Source organism: Homo sapiens, chromosome 17 (genome assembly GCF_000001405.40).
Source record: "Homo sapiens chromosome 17, GRCh38.p14 Primary Assembly".
NCBI classification, from domain to species: Eukaryota; Metazoa; Chordata; class Mammalia; order Primates; family Hominidae; genus Homo; species Homo sapiens.
The window spans coordinates 66,528,588-66,550,228 of NC_000017.11; the positions used below are offsets into that span (position 1 = coordinate 66,528,588).

Genomic DNA, 21,641 nt, shown 5'->3' on the forward strand with positions numbered 1-21,641 from the left:
TACTGGAAAAGGCAAGGAAGCAGGGGCCCCCGGAACTCTGCGAGCACCTCCATTGTAGCCTTATGAGACTCATTTTGGAAGTCTGACCCCAAAACTGTGAGATAATAAATTTGTGTTGCTTTAAGTCACTAAGTTTGTGGTATTATGTTACAGCAGCAATGAAAAACTAATATGGCACATAAGACTGGAAGGGAAGATATTTTAAAATGATAGTTGGAAGTACAGTGTATTTTAGTTTGTGTATTTTGATTGGGTGCTTGTGAGTTTACTTTGGTTGGTTAAGACTAAGAGGCAACAGATGACTTTTAAATGTTAGAGGAGGGAAAAATGGTAGAGTTTCAAGTTCACATTCAAGTACAAATGATGAATAAGCCCAGCCAAATTGTTCTCCAGTTTGGGTTTTGATGTATTGGGTTCAAATGGTTCCAGCCTTAATGGAGAAGCCAGTTTCTTTTTTCTTGTTGTTTTATTGTTTTTAAGCCTCTCTCTGGTTTTCAGTAGAGTTTGACCTTAAATATCATCTTTGATTACTATTGGTGTCCTTGTAGTTAAGGTCTTTGCAAAAGTTTGAGTGCAAGTTTTAAGCTAAAAACACGTTTTTAAACTTTCACAAATTTTGTAAGATGACAATAGCATTCTGTAACATAGACATTATGGTAATAGTGATTTTCTCTCCATCCCTATTTTGTCCAGCGATTTCCAAGTTATAAGACGTGAATAAGACTAACCGCTCACTTCCACCAGCAGCTGACCTGGTGGGCTTTTGAGTTCAAAGAGTCATTTCTTCATCTTACCTCCAGCACTGCAGGGCCGTGTGACCTTGCAGAGCCTTGTTTCTCATTGATGAAAGGAGCTCATGCCTCATGAAGCCACTGGTAAGGGCCATGGAGCTCACGGGCCATCAAGCTTCCTTCCCATCACTTGTGGGTGGAATTGACATTACCCGATGAGCTCTTCCTGGGGTCACCTGGGAGGGAGTGGCCCATGGGTGGTATGACAAAATCTCATAGTCAGTCTTTGCAGTTTTCTCCACAGGTAAAATGAGATTTTGGAAAATTTTCATTTGTTTGTATTTGTCCCAAGGTGAGTCTTACATATTTTGAGCAACAAAACGAAGATCATTATGAAAATGTCCTTATGGAAGCACTCTAGGGCCATTGCTCATTTTTATGAGTCCTCGTGCTAAGTCCCTGAGTACTGTGGCTCATGTCTTAGCTGGCTAAATCACAGTCAAAATTCTCTTCTTAAGCCTCAAAATAAGCTGCTGATTATACTGCCTGTTGGCCAGACTAATCAAATACATTTGATGTTTCAGCTGACTCCAGATACTTTTCCTTCCTCCTCCTTGGTTCTTTAACTGTCATCCCAGATCTGCGACATGCAATAAGGAAAACTGAGTCAGGGAGGAAGTAGGATTCCTTTTGCTGCTAGGAACCACGTTAGCTTTGGATTGTCCATAGAATGCACCCTTAACAGTTCTTGGAAAATGGATGATATTTGGTTCCTGCCCCATGTTCAGTGTTCTTTGGCAGCTGCAAAGCATATCCTAGCTAGAATCCTTATCGTCTTGAAGTTCATCAAAGATTTTGAACAGTCATGGTGGAGATACAACCTAAGTACATTCATGCCCATTGAGACAATCCTTTGGTTTGAGCGACGGAAGGAGGAATAAACACATGAATGTATTTTATTGAATCCCAGAGACCCTGAAACACCAAGACTCATTAATATATGCATACATGGATGGCAGAATAATAAACCTCACCTGACCTGTCAGTGTACTCTCAGTTTTTAAGGTTCTCCCAAAACAGGGAAACTGAAAAATACTTGGGCAGAAAGAAAATATCATCAAATAACACCTATTTCTTTTCAGCTATAGAGATGGCTGGATATCAAAAGCACCACGGGAGCTTTGCAATTTGCTGCCTCTTTTCAGCCCTCAGCTTGACTCTCAGTTTTCAAGAGGGAGAAAATGAATGTTTCCCAGCATTCTCTGTCCTTTGCTCCAAAGAAGAGAGCAGGTGTTGGCTTCCAAACCTTCCGTATTTTCTTATTGCTGTTAGGGGGATCAACTGCATGTTTCCTGAGGGAAAAGGGTGGCTCACTGACCTACTTGAAGGCATTCTCTCAGTGGAAGCTGGGCAAGAGAATCCAGGGATTTCTTTTGCAGGTTTCTGCGCAGTGCCCCTGCCATCAAGCTGCCTAAAATGTGAATATTGCTTCCCTGCGTTTCAGAGGTGGTAATATTGGGGCAAGTGGTGGAGGATCTAAAAAAAAAATCATCTTTGTGCTCCCTACCTTGCCCCTGGTATGGATTAAACAGCCACCACCCTCCTTCTCTTATACCCTGGGGGCCTCCTGACAATACTTCCAATTGCTCCATTGATTACTTAGATTTTTTGGGACACAAGGGCCCACGTTGTGTCTTCCTGACAACACTTTTAGTTGCTCTATTGATTACTTAGATTTTTGTTGGCAATTAGGAGCTTTTCAGTAACATTCTTTGCTCCATCGGTAGTCTCTGCTGGCTCTTGTTCACTCAGGAAACACCTGAGCACAGGGCTTCAGGAAAGCCTTCTATTAAATGGGCAGAGGCCCCAGCAGGACTCCTGCATGTTCATCTGCACAGCCAGAGACAGCTGGAGGGCAGGAGGAGCCGCGTTCACATAGGGTTCTGCAGCCTTGGAGCCGCCGTTTCTTCCAAGTACTCTTCAGATCAGTGGTTCTTAGCCCTGCCTGAACTGCAGAGTCCTCCGAGGAGCTTTCAAATGAAGCATGGCAGCCTGGGCAGGTTGCAGGTCCATTAAATCCACATCTCCGGGGTGGGAGCCGGTGGCATCCTTGCTTTGCCAGAACTCCCCCATTGACCCTAATGTGAAACCTGGGCTGAGAGGCCCTGCCTAAAGCTCGATTATTTTCACCTGTGGATGTAGGCGATCGCTTCCTTTTGTGGCTGTTGTCAGGAGGCAGAAAATCCCCTGGGTTGTTGGCTCCCTGGAGTCTTATTTTTACAGAGTGCCCTGTTTCAGGTGCAGCAACCTGACTGATGTTTTTACAAATCACCTTTTGGTGGCCTCCTGTCACTGCTGTCTCCCTTCAAGGGTTAAATAAGCCTCTCTCACCCATTCCTTTTCACACCTGTGTCGTGTATTATTGGCAGGCCTCAGTCCTCAGGGTGTCAAATGGAACTGATGGATGCCAGACATTGTGGATATCTGCAAGTCCTGGTTGGTGACCAGGGACTTGAAGAGTAGACTTTCTTCTCAAACTTATCTTTGTGCTGTTTTCCTTCCCCAGACCTCATAGTCTGGAGCCCATGTTTCCAGGGGTGGAATTTGATTTTCCCAGAGAGGAGCTGTGTTCGGCTTCTAGGCTGAGGAGCTAAGCTGCCGAGCCTCTGCCAGCCCTCTGTGGATTCGCTCCTGCATTATTCAGCGCCTTTGCTGACAGAGCACCATGTTCCACTGCTGAGCAGATCAGGGTGAATTTCCAAGAGGGAACATTGCAGATGGTTTTGCCTTTAGGGATGGATTTTCTTACTCCCAAGTGACTCACTTCTGGTAAAATTAAAAAAAAAAAAAAGAACAACCTTGAGTCCCTTGAGTCTGTCCCCACCATCTTTGCTCAGAGGGAATTAAGGAGCCAATTCAGAGCTTTAAAAAAGTCACGTGATGATTCATTATCTTTTTGCTGGTTGTTTCCTGCCCCCTCCCCCCCCACCCCCACCCACTGACTTGTAGTTTTTCATAAGCATTTATTCATCCTTGAATTTTATTTTATTTTTTTATTTTTTTTTGAGACAGAGTCTTGCTCTGTCACCCAGGGTGGAGTGCAGTGGTGCGATCTTGGCTCACTGCAGCTTCCGCCTCCCGGGTTTGAGCAATTCTTGTGCTTCCACCTCCTGAGGAGCTGGGATTACAAGCATGCACCACCATGCCCGACTAATTTTTGTATTTTTAGTAGATACAGAGTTCATAGCCAGGCTGGTCTTGAACTCCTGACCTCAGGTGATCCGCCCACCTCGGCCTCCCAGAATGCTAGGATTACAGGTGTGAGCCACTGCGCCCGGCCCATCCTTGAAGTTTAACTGCAACCCCATCTCCTTCCCTCTTTGCATGGGGTAAAACCCTACTGCAAGGACTCACTAGAATTCCTTCCACTCACATCCCCTCTGATGATCTGGCCTTGCTGTCAATTGCTGTGACCATGGACAAGTTGCCTTGCTGCCTCTCCTGAACATGGGAGGTACACAAGGCCTTTCTTCAGGGGTTTATTCCCAGCAGCTGATCTGCTGCTGTCGGTGGAATTAGTTTGCACACACAGCATCCCGGGGAGTGGAACAGTGCTTTCTTAGCACAAAACAGACACGTTTGCTTCCCTTCTTTCAGTGAAGGGGAACCCACGGCTGGAAAATACTGGAAGGCAATTGTAACCTTAGGCAGCCAACAACACTTCAGTCCTTTGGAAGTGGATTTTAAGGAAGAGGAGACTTCAAACGGTAGAGCTCTTTGTGATGTACCTCTTAGAGAATACCTTTTTGATTCCTACACTTATTCTCCTCTCACCAAGTGATACTTAAAGGGATGCCCTAAAACAGCAGTAAAGTCATAGGCCCCTTTTTATAAATTTCATGAATTCACTACTTTTTTCCCATCACGTCTTCTCTTAACCAATGTATCTGCATTTGGTTTGCGTAAAAGAAGAAATGTTTCCTCTGCTCCTGGGCTCACCATTAATTCTGATGAGATAGGCCTTTCTCCTCTAAAGGCAACAGGGCATTGGCCAAATCCCCTGTTTTACTGCATCCCTTTTTGGAGCTCAGTATTGGCCTGTCCTGACCCCCCTGGTTTGCCTCAGAATAATTATTAAGGGCATGTGTCTTGAAACAAGTCGCACCCAAGGCTGCTAGCCTGTGTATTGACTGCTTGATTTATAACGAATGCTGAATTTGGCTAGGCAAATGAGAAACGTGGTAGGGTCAGCCTTCTGCCTCCTCCTGGTTTACAGACTCATCTTGCCCATTCATTTTTCCCATCTAAGGCTTTAATTTGATACCCAGTGGGTTGGTCTTAAGCAACCAGGCAAGATCCAGAGGAGACTGTCCAGGCTGCCGCCCCCACTGGCCAGGCAGACCCCGTTCCTTTTGCGAGTTTCCTGCAAGGCTGTTGTTGACTCGGGGGAGCGGCTTTTAGTTGCTCAGGCTTCTTTCTGCTGCTGCAGAGGAATGTGTTCCCCTGTAGAGGCTGTTGGAAAGGGCAGTGCAGACAAGCCGGCTTCTCAGGCATTTAAACAAGTTGTCTGGAGGTTGTCAGACTCTGCAGCGCATCAGCCCCTCCTTTTGTTCGTTCGTAATGCCACAGTGTTTATGGAGCCCTGCCTTTTGGAGGAGTGGGAAGTGGAGCTTCCAACTGTTAGCCTATGTGTTTCTGTCATTTAGAGGCAATAAGAAGAACATGACCTTTTCTGGAACTGCTGCCCCCCGCACCCCCCCCAAAAAAATTAGAAAATGGTTAGTTTTGATTACATTCACCTTGACCACTTTCTTCCCAAGTGAAGCTGACCACGATTCTTTGTTGGAGCCAAGTTTTTGTATTTGCATATTCCCCTCGGGTAGGAACTGGGTCAGTTATTATTGTTCTAACTAGCAGGCGGAATTGGGGTCTCTGAGGCATGAGGGAGATTCCATTGTCTTCTGTGTATTCTGCTGGTATTTCATATCTGATGAAGGTCGATTCTTATCCCTAATTGACTTCCTCTTGGGTTTTGTAGTCTGAGTATTTGAAATCACATGTTGATTGGGCTGGGTGTGGTAGCACAAGCTTGTAATCCCAGCACTTTGGGAGGCCGAGGTGGGCGGATCACGAGGTCAAGAGATCAAGACCATCCTGGCTAACATGGTGAAACCCCATCTCTACTAAAAATACAAAAAATTAGCCGGGCGTGGTGGCGGGCGCCTGTAGTCCCAGCTACTCGGGAGGCTGAGGCAGGAGAATGGCGTGAACCCGGGAGGCGGAGCTTGCAGTGAGCCGAGATCACGCCACTGCACTCCAGCCTGGGTGACAGAGCAAGACTCTGTCTCAAAAAAGAAAAGAAAAAGAAATCACAAGTTGATCTTTCTGAATGTTGGGGCCCAATGTATTTGAGTAATAAACTTGTAACATGAGGGAAATGGACAAGTGAACCTTCTTAAGGACTCATGGTAATTTGACTCTCTCCTGTATGATTCTTTACTGACAGTGACATGAAGGGGAATTGCCTGGGGTAGACTTAGGCTGTCTAGTGTCATATGCTGCTTTTATTAATCCGGAGATTTCTGATTGGAATATATTTCCATTTCAATGGGATTAGAGTATAAAGAATGCTTTGTTACAATTATTTACTTACACCGCCACCACCGTAAGTAATAATAGTAGTTAGCATTTACCCTGTGTGTGTTACCTATAAGGTGCTGTTCTCAGCACTTCATGTGAATTATTCCTCAAATTATCCCCAAACTCTCTGAGACTGCGCTGTTACCATTTTGCTTTGTAGCTAAAGAAACAGCTTAGAGAGGTTGAGTAACTCCTCCAAGGCATACTCAGCAGTAGGCAGGACTTGAACCTGCGTTGTGATTTGTGAATTCCCACTTTTAACCACCCTTCACTGCCCATCTACACTGCCTCTTGCACATCTCATATTTTGCCAGATGGGAAAACTCACCAAGGATGAAGCTTCCTTAAGATCTTTTTGAGTATAAATAGGCCATCTGTTGATCTGTGTGTCCATCAGGTTAGGGGCTCTTACCTCAAGCCAACATATGGCAGAAAAGATATGTATTGATGTCTTGTGGGATAGTTAATAAAACACAAATGTGCAGTGCAGCTTCTTTAACCTGCTCCATCTTGGACCCAAATTCCCCCACCCCTGCTGCCAAACAGGCCTCTAACTGATGGGGTGGGTGTCCCCATCAGCTCTGTGCTGGCCCAGCTTCCTTGGGGTTGGCCCTCACCAGAGTAAGGGCACAAAACACAGCTCTCGAGGGGTTCTGCAGACGACCAGAGCCTGAGACCTTTTCTTGGCAGCTGGTGTCAGTTCCCTGTTGGATCTGTCCTTCCCTTCTGAATCCTAGTGGGATCTCCTCACTACCTGGTCACTATCTCTGTTCTCACAACAAGATTTAAACAATTATAGGATATCAGTGCACTGTGAGACCACAAACTCTTCTAGTCCATTCCCCTCCTTCTAATGAGGGGCCCCCACAGCTGTGGGGTTGTATCATCTAAGCCAGACCTCCAGTTTCCTTTTCACTAAAATACCTACCTTTGAAATAAAAGTGAAAACTTACATCAAAACAGCATCATGCCTGGAACATACTGAATGGACAGCATTTCCTTTCTTTCCCCTCCTTATTCTCCTGATTATTAATTATTTGCCTGACTTTGGATAGCTATTGGCTTCTGTCCTCTGATATTAATGTACTCATAATTTCTGTTTCTTACCTGGTTTTGGACTAATTGCTCTATTTTTATTTTTATTTTTTGGCACATGCTCTGCCTCTCCAATTCTGACATTTCTTGCAGTCCTCTCAGCATATTTCTGATCACAGTCCCAAATGACATTGAGAAGCCCTGATAGGAAAATGCTGTGTAAGAAATATGAGTTATTTGTCTGTGTGACTAGAACTTTCCTGGTGTAAGTTCAGAACTTTCCAGAACTTCCCTGAACTTTACTCTGTCCGGTTCAGACCATCTGAATGCAGATGTCTGACTTGGGGATAGATCCTCCACTGATCAATCATTCAGAGAAAAGCCACAGAAAACACACAAGATTAGAAAAATAAAACCCACATGGAAAGGCTTTAGTGAGGTTACAGCATAGATTATGCAGTCTGGGAAAAGAAGGATAATGCAGATTAAAATATCTGAAATATTAGAATAGCATAAATGTAGTTAACTTCGGAGCCGGAAGACCAGGGTTGAATCTTGGCTTCTTCCCTTACTGGCCATGTAACCTTGGGCTTCTTGCTTAACCCCTCTGAGCTGCAGAAGGGGGGATGCTGCTGTTGATGTCATCATCACCAATGGCAGCAGTAGAAGCTATCAATGATGGTGGTTATCACTTTTATTACCATTGTTTTTAGTAAGGAGAGCTAACGAGACAGGCTCCAACTGCTCTTCTCCCGTGGGAATTGCAGTTTTCTGCAGTGGATCCTGTGACAGATTCCTGTGGATTCCTGGGACAGACTTAGCCACCTGTCCTTTCTTCTATCCTCCTGTACTCATCAGATTGAGCACCATGTGGGTCCAGTCCCTGAGATGAGTGCTTGATAGATAGAGGTGAACGATGGGGGCTTGGTCTTACAGAGCTGACCTGTAAAATCCTCTCCACCATATCCAGTGCATACAGCTGGGCATTCTTTGTGTAGATCACCCCAGTTATTAGAACCTCTATTTCAGTAATTCACTCTCTGGGCTCTAGTTCTTCCTTGTGAATTTTACTCTCAGGGAAGCCCCGACTGTGCTCCTGAAGCTGTTTTTATTTGTAGTAATTTAGCATGCGTCCAGGAATTGAGGACTCTTGCCTACCCAAAATCAGAGGTGGGGAGGAAAACCACGGTATTTCAGTCCTTTTGTTCTTTTTGAGGTCTGTAATTCACCAAAGCCAGGTCCACCAAAGTAAATTATTACCATAATTTATGGTGAGAATTATTTGGGGCCACAGATGTCAAGTGGAAGCTTGCAGGTAAGTATGATTGAGAAAGTACAAAATTTTGAAATGAACTCTAACCTTATGAGTCTGTTGCTCTAAGGATCTAAGGATATTAGGAGGTAGTGTTAAGAATCACAACTGCATTGTTAAACGCCAAGTGTTCTTTGTGATTTGATTGAAACTGTAGTTGGGATTCTTCAGGTTCCATATGTGGGGCAACATTTAAATATTAACATTCTTGGGAAGATTTTGTATAGACAGCTTTCTCTGTCATCCGAATGCCGTGTGGTCTTCAGAGCATGTCATAAGAAAAGTCATGAGACACAAATCTGATGGAACTTTCTTTAGCATATGTTTAAGACTTGTCATCTTCCCATCTCATCTTTGCAGTAGAAAAATACCAACGTTTCCCTGAACAAAATAGAAGTATTTTCCACTTCCCCATTTCTGAAGCTCCTAGACGTTTTATATTTCTTTTGAGTAAGAGATTGCTTTGTATCCAGGAGCCTTTGCATGGTGCCTTTTCTTTTACTGGTTTGTTTATTTGGGAGATGGAGTCTTGCTCTGTCACCCAGGCTGGAGTGCATTGGCATGATCTCGGCTCACTGCAATCTCCACCTCCTGGGTTTAAGGGGTTCTCGTGCCTCAGCTTCCCGAGTGGCTGGGATTACAGGTTCACGCCACCATGCCCAGCTAATTTTTTGTATTTTTAGTAGAGACAGGGTTTTACCATGTTGCCTAAGCTGGTCTCCTGAGCTCAGGCAATCTGCCCGCCTCTGCCTCCCAAACTGCTAGAATTACAGGCGTGAGCCACCACCACGCCTGACTCCTTTTCTTTTTCTTGATGTTACTGAAGACTTTATTTTGGAAGTAGTGAGGGCCCAGAGCTGATCCCTTCTGGAGATGTGTCACAGGGTAAAGAATGTGGCTTTGAAACTCCAACTCTGTCACTTAAAGCTGTGCCTCTTTCAGAGTTACTTAACCACTCTGAACCTTAGTTTCCTCTTCTGCAAAATGGGAGACTAGCAACCTGCCACCCAACTGACTGCTCTGGGCTATTTATGAGACAGTCTCTGCTCTCGGGAGACATCCCTCTTTGGCTTATTCATCCTCACTCATCTGCGTTGGAGAGATGCACTTGGTGCCTCTCCTGCAGAAGGGGTGTTAGGAGGCTGTTGCGTTTGTCACCAGGGAGGTGATGTTTTCCCCATTGGGAACCCTAGGCCAGCAAACTTCGAGAAGTGTCTGTGGCAGCTTGAATGCTGCTATTTAAGAGTTGATAAAGAGGCAGCTTGGAGAAAACCTCAAGCTTATTTGGTTGAGTGGGGTGGCTGTGTGAGAATTAAGTAATGAGTAGACCTGAAGCATCTGGTGGGATCTCCAGCAGTTAGTAAATGGCAGCTGTTTTTATTCTCATCCCTTGTGGGCAGTACTGTCCAGTTCCAGTGATGGGCATTAGTGGCATTTGGGATTTGAGGATAACCTTCATAGGTTGGAATGAGTACCGTAGCAAAACAGAATTCTGCTCTTAGCCAGAAAGCATTCCAGTTAGCAAACTACCTGACAGTGTAATGTGCCCAGAGGACCCAGGAGGGCCATCCCAGGGAGAACAGCATCGCCATTTCTGCTGACCACATGCTGTCTCCTGAGCCCCGGTATCTGAGGCCCTCATCGAAGGCATAGGCATATTAACAGTTATGCTGCCAGACTTTTATCAGCAGTCTGTACTTCTCCTTTTATCTTCGGAACTGTGATGAAAAGAACAGTCCACTCCCTTCTGATCTCAACACTTACCAAAGCTCATCTGTTCACAGGCAAATGTACTAAAACATTTTTTATTGGAGACTGAGTTTCATGTGTAGACATCATTGTATTTCTGTGTGGTGTCCTCAGATTTTCACTCTTGTTTTTTCCCCAGCTGCCTTTTTTAAAAACTCCTTTGCACTCTTAAACGTCAGGCTGAGTGTATGTGTGTAAATAAACGCTTTGGGTGGAGGATATTGTTCTGCTGTGACAAGCCATCAAGCAGCACAGCAAGAAACAATACTTTTCTAATTTGTGAGTTATTCTTACGTTTCCCTTTTGCAAGGCTAGTTATTTCATTAAATTCATTTAATTTAAGCTTTGAAATCTTTTTTTTTTTTTTGAGATGGAGTCTTGCTCTGTCCTCCAGGCTGGATTGCAGTGGCGTGATCTCGGCTCACTGCAAGCTCCGCCTCTCAGGTTCACGCCATTCTCCTGCCTCAGCCTCCTGAGTAGCTGGGACTACAGGCGCCCGCCACCACATCCAGCTAATTTTTTTTTATTTTTAGTAGAGATGGGGTTTCACTGTGTTAGCCAGGATAGTCTCGATCACCTGATTTGTGATCTGCCCGCCTTGGCCTCCCAAAGTTCTGGGATTACAGGCGTAAGCACCGCGCCCGGCCTAAGGTTTCAATCTTAATAAGAATGGCTAACTTTTAGATGAGAGTTTTACATCAGAAAACCTCATCGTACCCAGAGAGATGCTTCTTTAATTCAGATTTGAAGGGATGAGTTTCCTTGTTCTGGATTAAACAGCTCACTCAGACACACCAAATGAATGCAGTGTGCAGTCCTAGGTGGCACCAATCACAGAAGAGTGAAAAGCATAAAACAGTTTTAGAAAAGGTCACCACACTTAGAAATAGAAATCCACCCTTGCTCACGCAACCCGAGGGATTTGAAAATAATTTCGAAAATCAATTTAAACATGTAGGCCACCCGTCTTTTGGAGAGATGCAGTTGGTGCCTCTCCTGCAGAAGGGGTGTTAGGAGGCTGTTGTGTTTGTTGCCAGGGAGGTGATGTTTTCCCCATTGGGAACCCTAGGCCAGCAAACTTCGGGAAGTGTCTGTGGCAGCTTGAATGCTGCTATTTCAGAGCTGATGAAGAGGCAGCTTGGAGAAAACCTCAAAAATAAATACTCTGATTCATCATTGTTGTTCAGGCTTTCCAGCCGTCAGAGCCAGCCCAGGGTTCTGAGACAAAGGGTAACATTCAGCACAGAGCCCAGCGGAGAGTCTGGAGCCCTGACTGTCTCTAAAAGAGGGGGCGGAGAGGGAGGCAGCTGCCTGCAAACCCTGGAGTGGGGCTTGACGCTGGGGGGACGGCGTGTGCTGGTTTTGCTGCTTTGGGGGTGAGGAGAGGATGAATAATCCAAAGAGGGACGTCTCCCGAGAGCAGGGACCATCTCATAAATAGCCCAGAGCAGTCAGTTGGGTGGCGGGCTGCCGTGCGGGGGCTGCAGTTAGAAGCAGCACTCGGAGTGGAGTGGGGCCTCCCAGCGGGGCCCTGCTGCACTTTGTGAGTGCTCTGTGGTCGAAGGCCAGCTGGGCCTGAAGGCAAAACATCTGGATTTTGCAGAGGGTTCCTAGGCTGAGACGGAATTCAGGCTGTAGGCTCTGTGAGACCTTGTGTGAAACCCCCGGTTCTGTCTCTGTCACTTGTTTGAGTCTCCCATTTCTCTGTCTATCAAAAGATTGAATATGGTGGCTTACAACAGAGGCAGTCGAGGGTAATTATTAGTATCATGGTTTGACCTCGAGATCTGGCACTTCCTGGACCTATTCCGTTGTATATTTCTCTGTGCACTCCCTGAGCCTCCCTTTTCTCAGCTGAGAAAATGGTCACACCTATGGTATCCCACACTGTGGAAAATGACCAAATAAGACAAGGTATGTGCAAGTATTTGGTAGAACCCTACAGAGGTAGGAAGTGGCTGTTACTAGCTGTTTCCACTGGTATTCTCTGGCCATCTCAGAGCTGTTTAGGGACCATTCCAGCTACAGGGGAGGGCAAGATTTAGAGTAGACTCTCAAATGAGTCTATCTGATTCTTTGGAAGCACGAGCTCTAGTAAGATAGTTTGAACAAAGATGTGACCATGAGGGGTTTTGTTTTATTTTTTAACTAGATTTTGATATGTTGTGTGCCGCTTCTCCACTGCACAGATTGACCAAGAGTTAGCTGCAGATTGTGGCTCAGTAAGAAGGTCTTGTGGTACGTGCTCCTGCGGCCCCCACCTCAAACTCTTGCCTCTGGTGTTCTTGAAAGAAATGAGGGGACCTTTGCCCGAGCCAAGGGAAAATGCAAGATTTTGGAGGCTTAGCCCCTTTATTGTTTTTTTCCTCTGTTGCTTATATTGATTTCTGCGGCAAAGAGCAGTTGACTGGGATTGAAAGCTACTCTGCTGGTCTTGGATGTGGAAGAAAAAATAATTCCCACTTTCCAAATAGAGGCTCATCCAGAGGCAGCAGATGCCAGAGGCAGCAGATGCTAGCTGCAGTTCTGCAGGCAGGAATTGCACGTGCAAAGCAGAGCTGACGTCCAGTCCACGCCTCATGGCACTTTGGAAGTGCATCTGACACCGTTTGCCTGCCATACACAAGCCACAAAGACTTTTTGAGGCGACAGGTTATGCCAAAAATTAAGTAAAAATGACACAGCTTCAGATGACATTTACATATCTATTTTTGAGGTTTCAGAACATGTGCCCTATAAAAATGTACAACTGCATTGTTTAAAACTCTTCTGAGTCTCTGAGGATTTTCTATCAGTGCATGCCTCTCAGTTATCACTTAAATGTCAAGGCCCTAAGCTTGTATGAGCCCCTAAAATGTTTTTGAGCCCCACAGTAAATTTTTGGCTGACCACATTTGTTCTATGTAAGGCTGATAACAAGCCACCACGTGGAATCTCACAGTGGGACTTTAGTATCAGGCAATTGCAGAGTCCTGAAGCTCGTGTTGCGGTTATTATGGTTCTATATAAAGCCCCAGGGGAGAAAGTCATTTCATGCTTTTAAAATTACTAGTTAATGTTTAAGGAGTTTATACGGAGTGGACTGAGCCAAGCATTTTCCCCTTAACTTTAAAATTATTACAGAGAGGCCTTAAGAAACTGTTCTGTATTAGATGGTGATTAAAATATGACCTTTTTCTTTCTTTATGCTTAGGATTTTCACGATGTGGTTTGCAATTAATTTGTATGTGCACAGTCTTTGTGCTAGTTTCTGTGGACATACAGTGGTGCTACTTGGCCTTAAGAGCTTCCTGTGTGTGGTTGGGAGATAGGCAGTTAGTAAGCCATGTGTGCTGTGAGAAAACCCAGAGCATAGAAGTCGCACATGAGAGTACCAGGTGCTGAGTACCATGGGGGTGAGAGCAAGGAGGGATTATTTCTGCCCCAAGAAGGCTTCTTGGGAAATAGAGCAGTTATGAAGGACCTGGAAAGATGTTCCAATAAGACTTGGGTGAGGAGACACAATAGTCCCAAGTAGGGAGGGCAGAGCACCCTGAGTAGAGGTGTGGTGTCAGGAAGTGTGAGAATTCTTCAGAGACTGATAGTCGGAAGGGATTCCTCTGCAAAGGCCTGTGGAAGGATATGAAGGTTGGAAAGACAAGTGGGAGCCATTGGGGAGTCTCAACAAATGTGTATTGTATTGTGTGTGTTTCACTTGGAAAATTATCTTGCTATTAATGAGAAAGTACAGATTAATGCTTTTTTTGTTTTACTGGATTCAAATTATATTTGACAAGTCATTTCATTCTAGTGTATGCATGTGATTTTCTTGGAACGAGGGTAACATTTTAAAGATAGGATTTGATGAGTCAATGAGGTATTTTTCAAGTAGATTACTTAGAAAATGTTATAGTCATAAAATATCTTGGAGTTACAGTTAAGAGTCAATTATTGTTTCATCTATAGGCATCCAATTAAAGTTGAATTATGCTGTTATTTTCACTCAATTTCCAAAGCTATGCACTTCCGTAATTTCTATCCTTGTTTATAGTCAGTATAATGTTTAATGCAATGTGCCTGATTTAGCACTTTGTGTTATAAATTTTGCCTGATAAATAATCAACTTATTTTCTTCCGTATGACGACAGTTTTCTTCACAGTGAATGGAGCTTAGTGTATTTATATAAAATGTAAGTCTGGGAGAGTTTCCATTATAGTTCAAGTATATTTAATGTTCAAAAGAATGCAGTATTTGTGGTTTCCTGGCATTCTTTGAATACCATGTGGCTCTTCTCTCTTCCTTCTCACCAAAACCCTAGTCATTTTATTATTTATATAATGAGATACTGTAAGATACTAAAACATAAGTTATTGTGAGGTCTGGCTTTTGATGCTATGAAGTACCCTTTGTTATTTGAGACTAATGAAATGAAATCAGTGAGTTCCAGCTTGTCTACTAGTATGTTGCTTGAAACAATTACATTCTTTTGAACATTAAATTTATATATTTGAACTATAAGGAAACTCTCCCAGACTTGTATTTTATATACTCTAAGCTCCATTGACCATGCAGAAATCTGTCAGCATATGAGAGGAACAAGCGGATTATTTATCAGGCAGATTTTATAATGCAGAAATACGAAGCAACATAGTGCTGTGGTGAAGACAGAATTGAACATTGTTAGACACTTAGCAATCCCAAGAGGCATCATGAAGTCCATGTACCCTACACCATAGAAAAGGCTACACCCCAAAGTTCTGGAACAAGCCTGGTTTGCTGGCTTTCTGGTGTCAAATGTCAGAAGCAGAAAATGGGAGGATGGTAAAACAGTAGACTCAGTGAGAGCAGGACTGAACTTCAGCAGGCCCCATAATTGTACAGAAACAAGATTGCTAGGCTGGGTGCTGTGGCTCACGCCTGTAATCCCAGCACTTTGGGAGGCCAAGGCAGGCAGATCACTTGAGGTCAGGAGTTCGAGACCAGCCTGGCCGACTTGGTGAAACCCTGACTGTACTAAAAAAAATACAAAAATTAGCCACGTGTGGTGGTGCACACCTGTAGTCCCTGCTACTGGGGTGGTGGGGGGAGCTGAGGCAGGAGAATCGCTGGAACCCGGGAGGTGGAGACTGCAGTGAGCCAAGATCAGACCACTGCACTGCAGCCTGGGCGACACAGCGAGACCCCATCTCAAACAACAACTACAAAAGATTTCTCATGGCCACTTAGTTTAGGAAGAAGACCCCCATGTAGTTCATGAACCCAATGCTGTGAACCAAAATACTATAAACACTAGTATTCTAGGTCACCACTGTGATCATTGAGAAAATGTTGAAGTATATTGACATATTTTGTTTAACAAAACAAGGGACTTAAAGTGCGTTTTAGAAATATTTGTATACATGCTGGTTTAAAAAAGAAAAGACTAAAAACAAGCCTTAGTACATAAAAAGAAAATATTCAGTTTTCCAGAAAATGAGGTTACTCCCTTACATTGAGAGTTACATGAAGCCTTGTTACAGTACTTTTAGTCTTCTTTATTCAAAGAAAGAATTACCAATATCATTTTTTTTTTAAGATGGAGTGAGTCTTGCTTTGTCACCCAGGCTGGAGTACTGTGGCATGATCTCAGCTCACTGCAACCTCCACCTCCCAGGTTCAAGCCATTCTACTGTCTCACCCTCCCAAGTAGCTGGGATTACAGGCATGCGCCACCATGCCCAGCTAATTTTTGTATTTTTAGTAGAGATGGGATTTCACCATGTTGGTCAGGCAGGTTTCAAACTCTTGACCTCAGGTGATCCACCCGCCTCGGCCTCCCAAAGTGCTGGGATTACAGGCATGAGCCACCATGTCCGACCACCAATATCATTTTTTAAAAGTAAATTATTACGATTTCCTTAGGTGGTTAATAAATTACCATTATTTTCTCTATTTTACAGATCACGAAATGATAAGTAACTTACCGAAAGTTACATTATTTAAGTTAATCAAATGTTTATTGATTGCCAGACTTTTTTCTAGGCTTAAGCAAATGTTGGAAAATACTTCTCTGAGCTTTCAAAAATGTTATTTCTACTTGTCAGTGCTGCAGGAGTTTAATACAGATAATTTAGGCTGGGCGCAGTGAATCACGCCTGTAATCCCAGCACTTTGGGAGGCCAAGGCGGGCAGATCACGAGGTCAGGAGATCGAGACCATCCTGGCTAACACGGTGAAACCCCGCCTCTACTAAAAAATACAAAAAATTAGCCAGGCGTGGTGGCGGGTGCCTGTAGTCCCAGCTACTCAGGAGGCTGAGGTAGGAGAATGGCGTGAACCCAAAAGGCGGAGCTTGCAGTGAGCCAAGATTGTGCCACTGCACTCCAGCCTGGGCGACAGAGCGAGACTCTGTCTCAAAAAAACAGATAATTTATCTACATACTGTATGACTTTACTTTAAAAAATGTTTGTATCCTTGTAGTAAGACTGTTATTTTTTTTAATCCTACATCACATCATGCATTCCTGAGTGTGAGCTACCAGTGTTTTTGTCTAGGGCTAGATTACTAGAGCTAAAATATCGGGAGAATTAATGAGAAAAAAAGGCTTAACCACTGAGGCTCTGTCAATATCAGTTTTTGTGGCAGGCTATGTTTACTTTCTTCAAGGAAAAATGTCAGGCAAAATTTTATCACTACAAATACAAAAGAGAAGAACATTAAAAAAATCTGATCATTATAGAAATCATAGTCAGTGCAGAATGTTTCCTGCAGAATCCAAGTGTTTAGTGAATGTTGGTGGAAAATATGAAGTGTGTCATGTGATTGGAAAGTCATTTACCATATTCATTTTTCTTTTAGGAAAAAAAGTAAATTAGATTTTGTATGAGAATAAACCTTACTGAGACTTGTTAATTTTGCTCTGAAATTTACTGTTTGATATTAATCTGGCCAGTCTAGCTTTCTTTTAGATTAATGTTACCATGATACTTCGTTTTTTATCCTTTTACTTTTCATATATCTGTGTCTTTAAGTCTAAAACGAGTTTCATATAGACAGTATCAGTATGTAGTCTGGTCCTTTTTTATCTGCTGTGACAATCTTTGCCATTTAATTGCAGTCTTTACACCATTTATATGTAATGGAATTATCATTAATTTACATGGGATTATAATTTACATTTAATGACCACTATCCTTTTATTTGCATTCAGTTCATCCTCTTGTTCCCTTTTTCCTTCTGTTGGGATGAGTATTTTTAATTACTTCATTTTATTATGTTTGGTTGTATTAGTTTCTAATATGATTAGCTGTATTAGTTTCTAAGGCTGCCATAACAGATTAACATAGAGTGTCTCAAAACAACAGAAATGTATTCATACACAGTTCTGAAAGCTAGAAGTCCACAATTAAGGCCTTGGCAGGGTCATGCTTCCTTTGAAGGCTCTTGGCAAGAATCTTTCCTTGCATTTTCCTACGTTGTGTTAGTTGCCGCTAATCCTCTATGTTCATTGGCTTGTGGCTGCATCTCTCCAGTTTCCGCCTCTGTGTTCACATGGCCATCTTCCCTCTGTGTGTGCCTGCCATTTCCAAATCTTTCTTTCCTTATAAAAATAGCAATCATTGGATTTAGGGGCTACCCTAATCCAATATTGGCCTCATGTTACTTCATTACATTTGCAAAGACCTTATTTCCAAATAACGTCACATTCACGTAGACCTGGAGTAAAGGCTTCGAGATATTGTTTTGGGGAACACAATACGACCCGCAGCATTAGTTTTACCTCTTCGTGTTTTGTTTTGTTTTGTTTGTGGTTGATCTAGGGCTTGTAATGTAAATCTTTAATCAATCAGTCTACTTTCCAACAATATTATACCACATCACATATGGTGTAAGAACCTTACAACAGTTTACTTGTATTTCCCCTCATTTTGCCAAGCATAAAATACTATTGCTTTAAGCTACTGTAGCATCTCCCATATCTGTCCCCTCCTCTGTATTCCTACTACTACTGACTAAGGTGAGCTCCTTGTTATTTCTTGCCTTTTGTCTTGAGTAGTCTGGAGTTTCACCAGTTTACCTTAGCGATCTTGCCCTTACCTATCTACCTTCCTTTCTCACTTAGGTATCGTGTTTATGTCTCCAGATATGCCTGTGTATGTTACATCTCTGTACTTTGCTCACACTGAACTTGAACACCCTCCCCTCCACTTATCTTTCAAACAGTTATTTCCCTTTCAAAACCAAGACAAGTCTTGCCTTCTTTGAATCACTCAATGCAGTCAGCTGTGGTCTCCCTCTGTGCCCTGCTATGGATGACACACAATCTCAGTCCCAATCCCAGGTCCTGTTACGTTTTACTGGATAATTTGTCTATCCTCTTCCTCCCAAGGGGATAGGAACCTTGTGAGAGTCATCTCCTAGCATCTAGGATGTCACCAGACTGATAATCACTGTTCCATGAATGTACACTAAATGAAGTTATCAATGAATCAGTAAGTTGAGTGCTGGTTTCACTAGTCCTTACTGTTTACTGAGAGTTGTTTATAAATGACTAAATGTTCCCTTGGTAGGTGTTGTGATGAATCCTACCTACCCTGGGTAAGTTCCTTGACTATTCATTGTTAACTTCATCGAAAGTTACTTGAGAATCAAGAGTCATTTTGACAGCTTCAAATATTGACAGAAGGCTGTGGACATATTTTCCAGATGCCTTAAAAAAATAGGATGATTTCCTCATTGAAGTAGAAAATAACCCTTGATACCACCAGTTCAACTCAAATATTTACTTGGGCAAATAATTATTTGCAAGCAAAGAAACCATCTTACGGCTTTTTATTCTGACACATTAAAGCACTTACCATGAGAAAACCATACAAACATCTTTTAGATAATTTTGACCAGAAACATTGGAAGGACATTCATGACATATCCTGGCTGCTTAGAGGTTTGCAAAACATGCTGCTCCACTCTTTTTTTCTTAGGCCTGTACACAGATCCCAAGTCATTTTTTAAATGTGGAAATGTTTAAAGGGTTGTAGTGTTTTCTGATTACAGAAACCATACGAATTGTAGCTGTAATTGTGGGGCTAGAGCCTGAGGGAGCTTTTCGCTGATTCTTGTTCGGGGGGATTTCCTTGAAGTCGACAGTGGAAGAACATTATAAAGCAAAAACTACAGCTCCTTACACTTCTCCTTAGCTGTGAAAATAAAGACCAAAAAATTTACTGAGATGATGGTGAAGGCCACCAAACCTCACAGGGCTGAGTCAGCTGGTGCCTATGAGGGCGCCCCTCCTTGACACTTCCTTCCTTTTGGCAGGAAGGAGAGGGGCAGAAAGTCATCTCCTGCCGCCTCCCTCCCCTCAGAAAATGATTTATAATGTTTGAGAGATCTACTGTGAGCAAAGTTCAACACACATGCCTAAAGGACACGTCCTCTAACAAATGAGGACTTAGCAAGCTGCCTACCAGGCACCAAGCTGTGTGTACCACACAGGTATTTCTCACTTAATCTTTACAACAACCCATTAAGATAGGTGATCTGGTGTCCTGAGTGGTGGCCCTCTCTCATGCATATCTGTATCCCAATCCCTGGAACCTGTAAATATTGCCTTATTTGGAAAAAAAGGGTCTTGAGGTGACCCTATCCTGGACTATCTGCATGGGCCCTAAATGCCATCTCATGGACTTTCGAAAAGGTGAGGTTGAGATGGGAGTGATGCTGACAAGGCAGGGCGGCTGGAGGAGGTGGGAGCTGGATTCCCTCCTAGCGCCTACCGAATACGTTTCGGCAAGTTTTTTTTTTTTTGAAGCAGGCTCTCTCTCTGTTGCCCAGGCTGGAGTGTAGTGGCGCAATCACAGCTCAGTCACTGCAGCCTCCGCCTCCCGGGCTCAAGCAATCTTCCTGCCTCAGCCTCCTGAGTAGCTGGGACCACAAGTGCACTACCACACCCAGCTAATTTTTGTATTTTTTGGTAGAGATGGGGTTTTGCCATGTTGACAGGCTGGTTTCAAACTCCTGGGCTCAAGTGACCCGCCTGTCTTGACCTCCCAGAGTGCTGGGATTACAGGCATGAGCCACCGTGCCGGGCCACTTTCTGTAATTTTAAGCTACCAAGTTTATGGCAGTTTTTTTTTTTTTTTTTTACAATAACCACAGGAAGTCCATGCAGGTGCCATTATTGCCTCATTTTACAGAGGGGGAAACTGAGGCTTAGAGAGATGGATTAAGGTGCTCAAGTTTGTAAATTGGGTGTGGGTGGAGCTCGGATGCATGCTCAGTCCTTCGTCCAGAGCCTGGGCTCTCAACTTCTTTCCAGTGAGGAAATGCAAATTTGCTTCTGTGACTGATAACAGGGTGGGTGGATACCAGCCAGGGTCTGGTGTAGCTCAGCAGGTTGCTCCCTTCTGCCATGCAATAATAAGAATCACCTGTGGCCCAGGCCTCTCTAAAGAGATTGAAGTCTTAGAGGAGGTTGGTACCTCTCCAGGCCACGGGACGGGAATGACAGTGCATTTGCCTGTGTCGTAGCCACCTGCTTTTAATCAGCACTTTAAAGGGGGCAGAAACCACAGATTTCACATAAATTGATATTGAGCAGTTGTGTGAATTCCATTTGGACCTCCTCTGGTGGTGGTTCTAACCCAAATTATTTAAAGTATTTGGTAGGAACACAAGCCACTTGCTGATGAGAGAGAGGAGTAAAAAAAGACACTGATTTTTCCATTCTAGAAATTTTATTTCTTAAAGCAAGAAATCCTTAATTGCCTCCTATGTTGCTGTTCTTATTTGCCCCTTTTTAGTGGTCAGTGGGGTGTGTTTCTTAATTGTGATGGCACAGAATTCACCTTGGTCCCAAACAAGAAGTGAAGGGGGTTAAGAAATCTAAAAGGAATGAAGTTTATGGAAATGTGAGTCACCTCTCGTCACACACCACTACCTCCTCCCCCAGTCAAGGAATTCCTCTGAAATTCCCTGCATGTTTCTCTTTAGACTCTTAAGACCCCTGGGTACTTGCATCTCCATTTAGAACAACTTGAGAGAATCCCTGGCCTGTTGTATTTCATATACTTCCCAGTGTCTCACACACACGCAGACTTGCTTTTCTGACACGTGCAGAGTTTTACTCTTTTTTCTCGGGTGAAGAGACGTAACCATGATGGAAAATGAGATCCCAAGACTAAAACCAGTTAGATGATGTTCATCTGCTTCTAA

At 43.6% G+C, this 21,641-nt stretch overlaps 1 protein-coding gene across 11 annotated transcripts in view, besides 3 other annotated features; it reads left to right on the plus strand.

Annotated features, from left to right (window-relative positions):
- Positions 1-21,641, plus strand: part of PRKCA (protein kinase C alpha) — a 508,131-nt gene that overhangs the window by 225,975 nt on the left and 260,515 nt on the right. The window lies entirely within an intron of this gene.
- Positions 4,603-5,143: an enhancer, noted in NCBI's record as "H3K27ac-H3K4me1 hESC enhancer chr17:64529308-64529848 (GRCh37/hg19 assembly coordinates)". NCBI's record gives its function as "activates a minimal SCP1, AML or CMV promoter by ChIP-STARR-seq in primed H9 embryonic stem cells {active_cell/tissue: H9 hESC(primed)}" and the evidence as "EXISTENCE:reporter gene assay evidence [ECO:0000049][PMID:30033119]".
- Positions 13,844-13,893: a silencer, noted in NCBI's record as "silent region_8864". NCBI's record gives its function as "represses an Ori minimal core promoter by ATAC-STARR-seq in GM12878 lymphoblastoid cells {active_cell/tissue: GM12878}" and the evidence as "EXISTENCE:reporter gene assay evidence [ECO:0000049][PMID:35858748]".
- Positions 20,250-20,432: a silencer, noted in NCBI's record as "fragment chr17:64544955-64545137 (GRCh37/hg19 assembly coordinates)". NCBI's record gives its function as "represses an EF-1alpha promoter that drives an FKBP-Casp9 reporter gene in an ReSE screen in K562 erythroleukemia cells {active_cell/tissue: K562}" and the evidence as "EXISTENCE:reporter gene assay evidence [ECO:0000049][PMID:32094911]".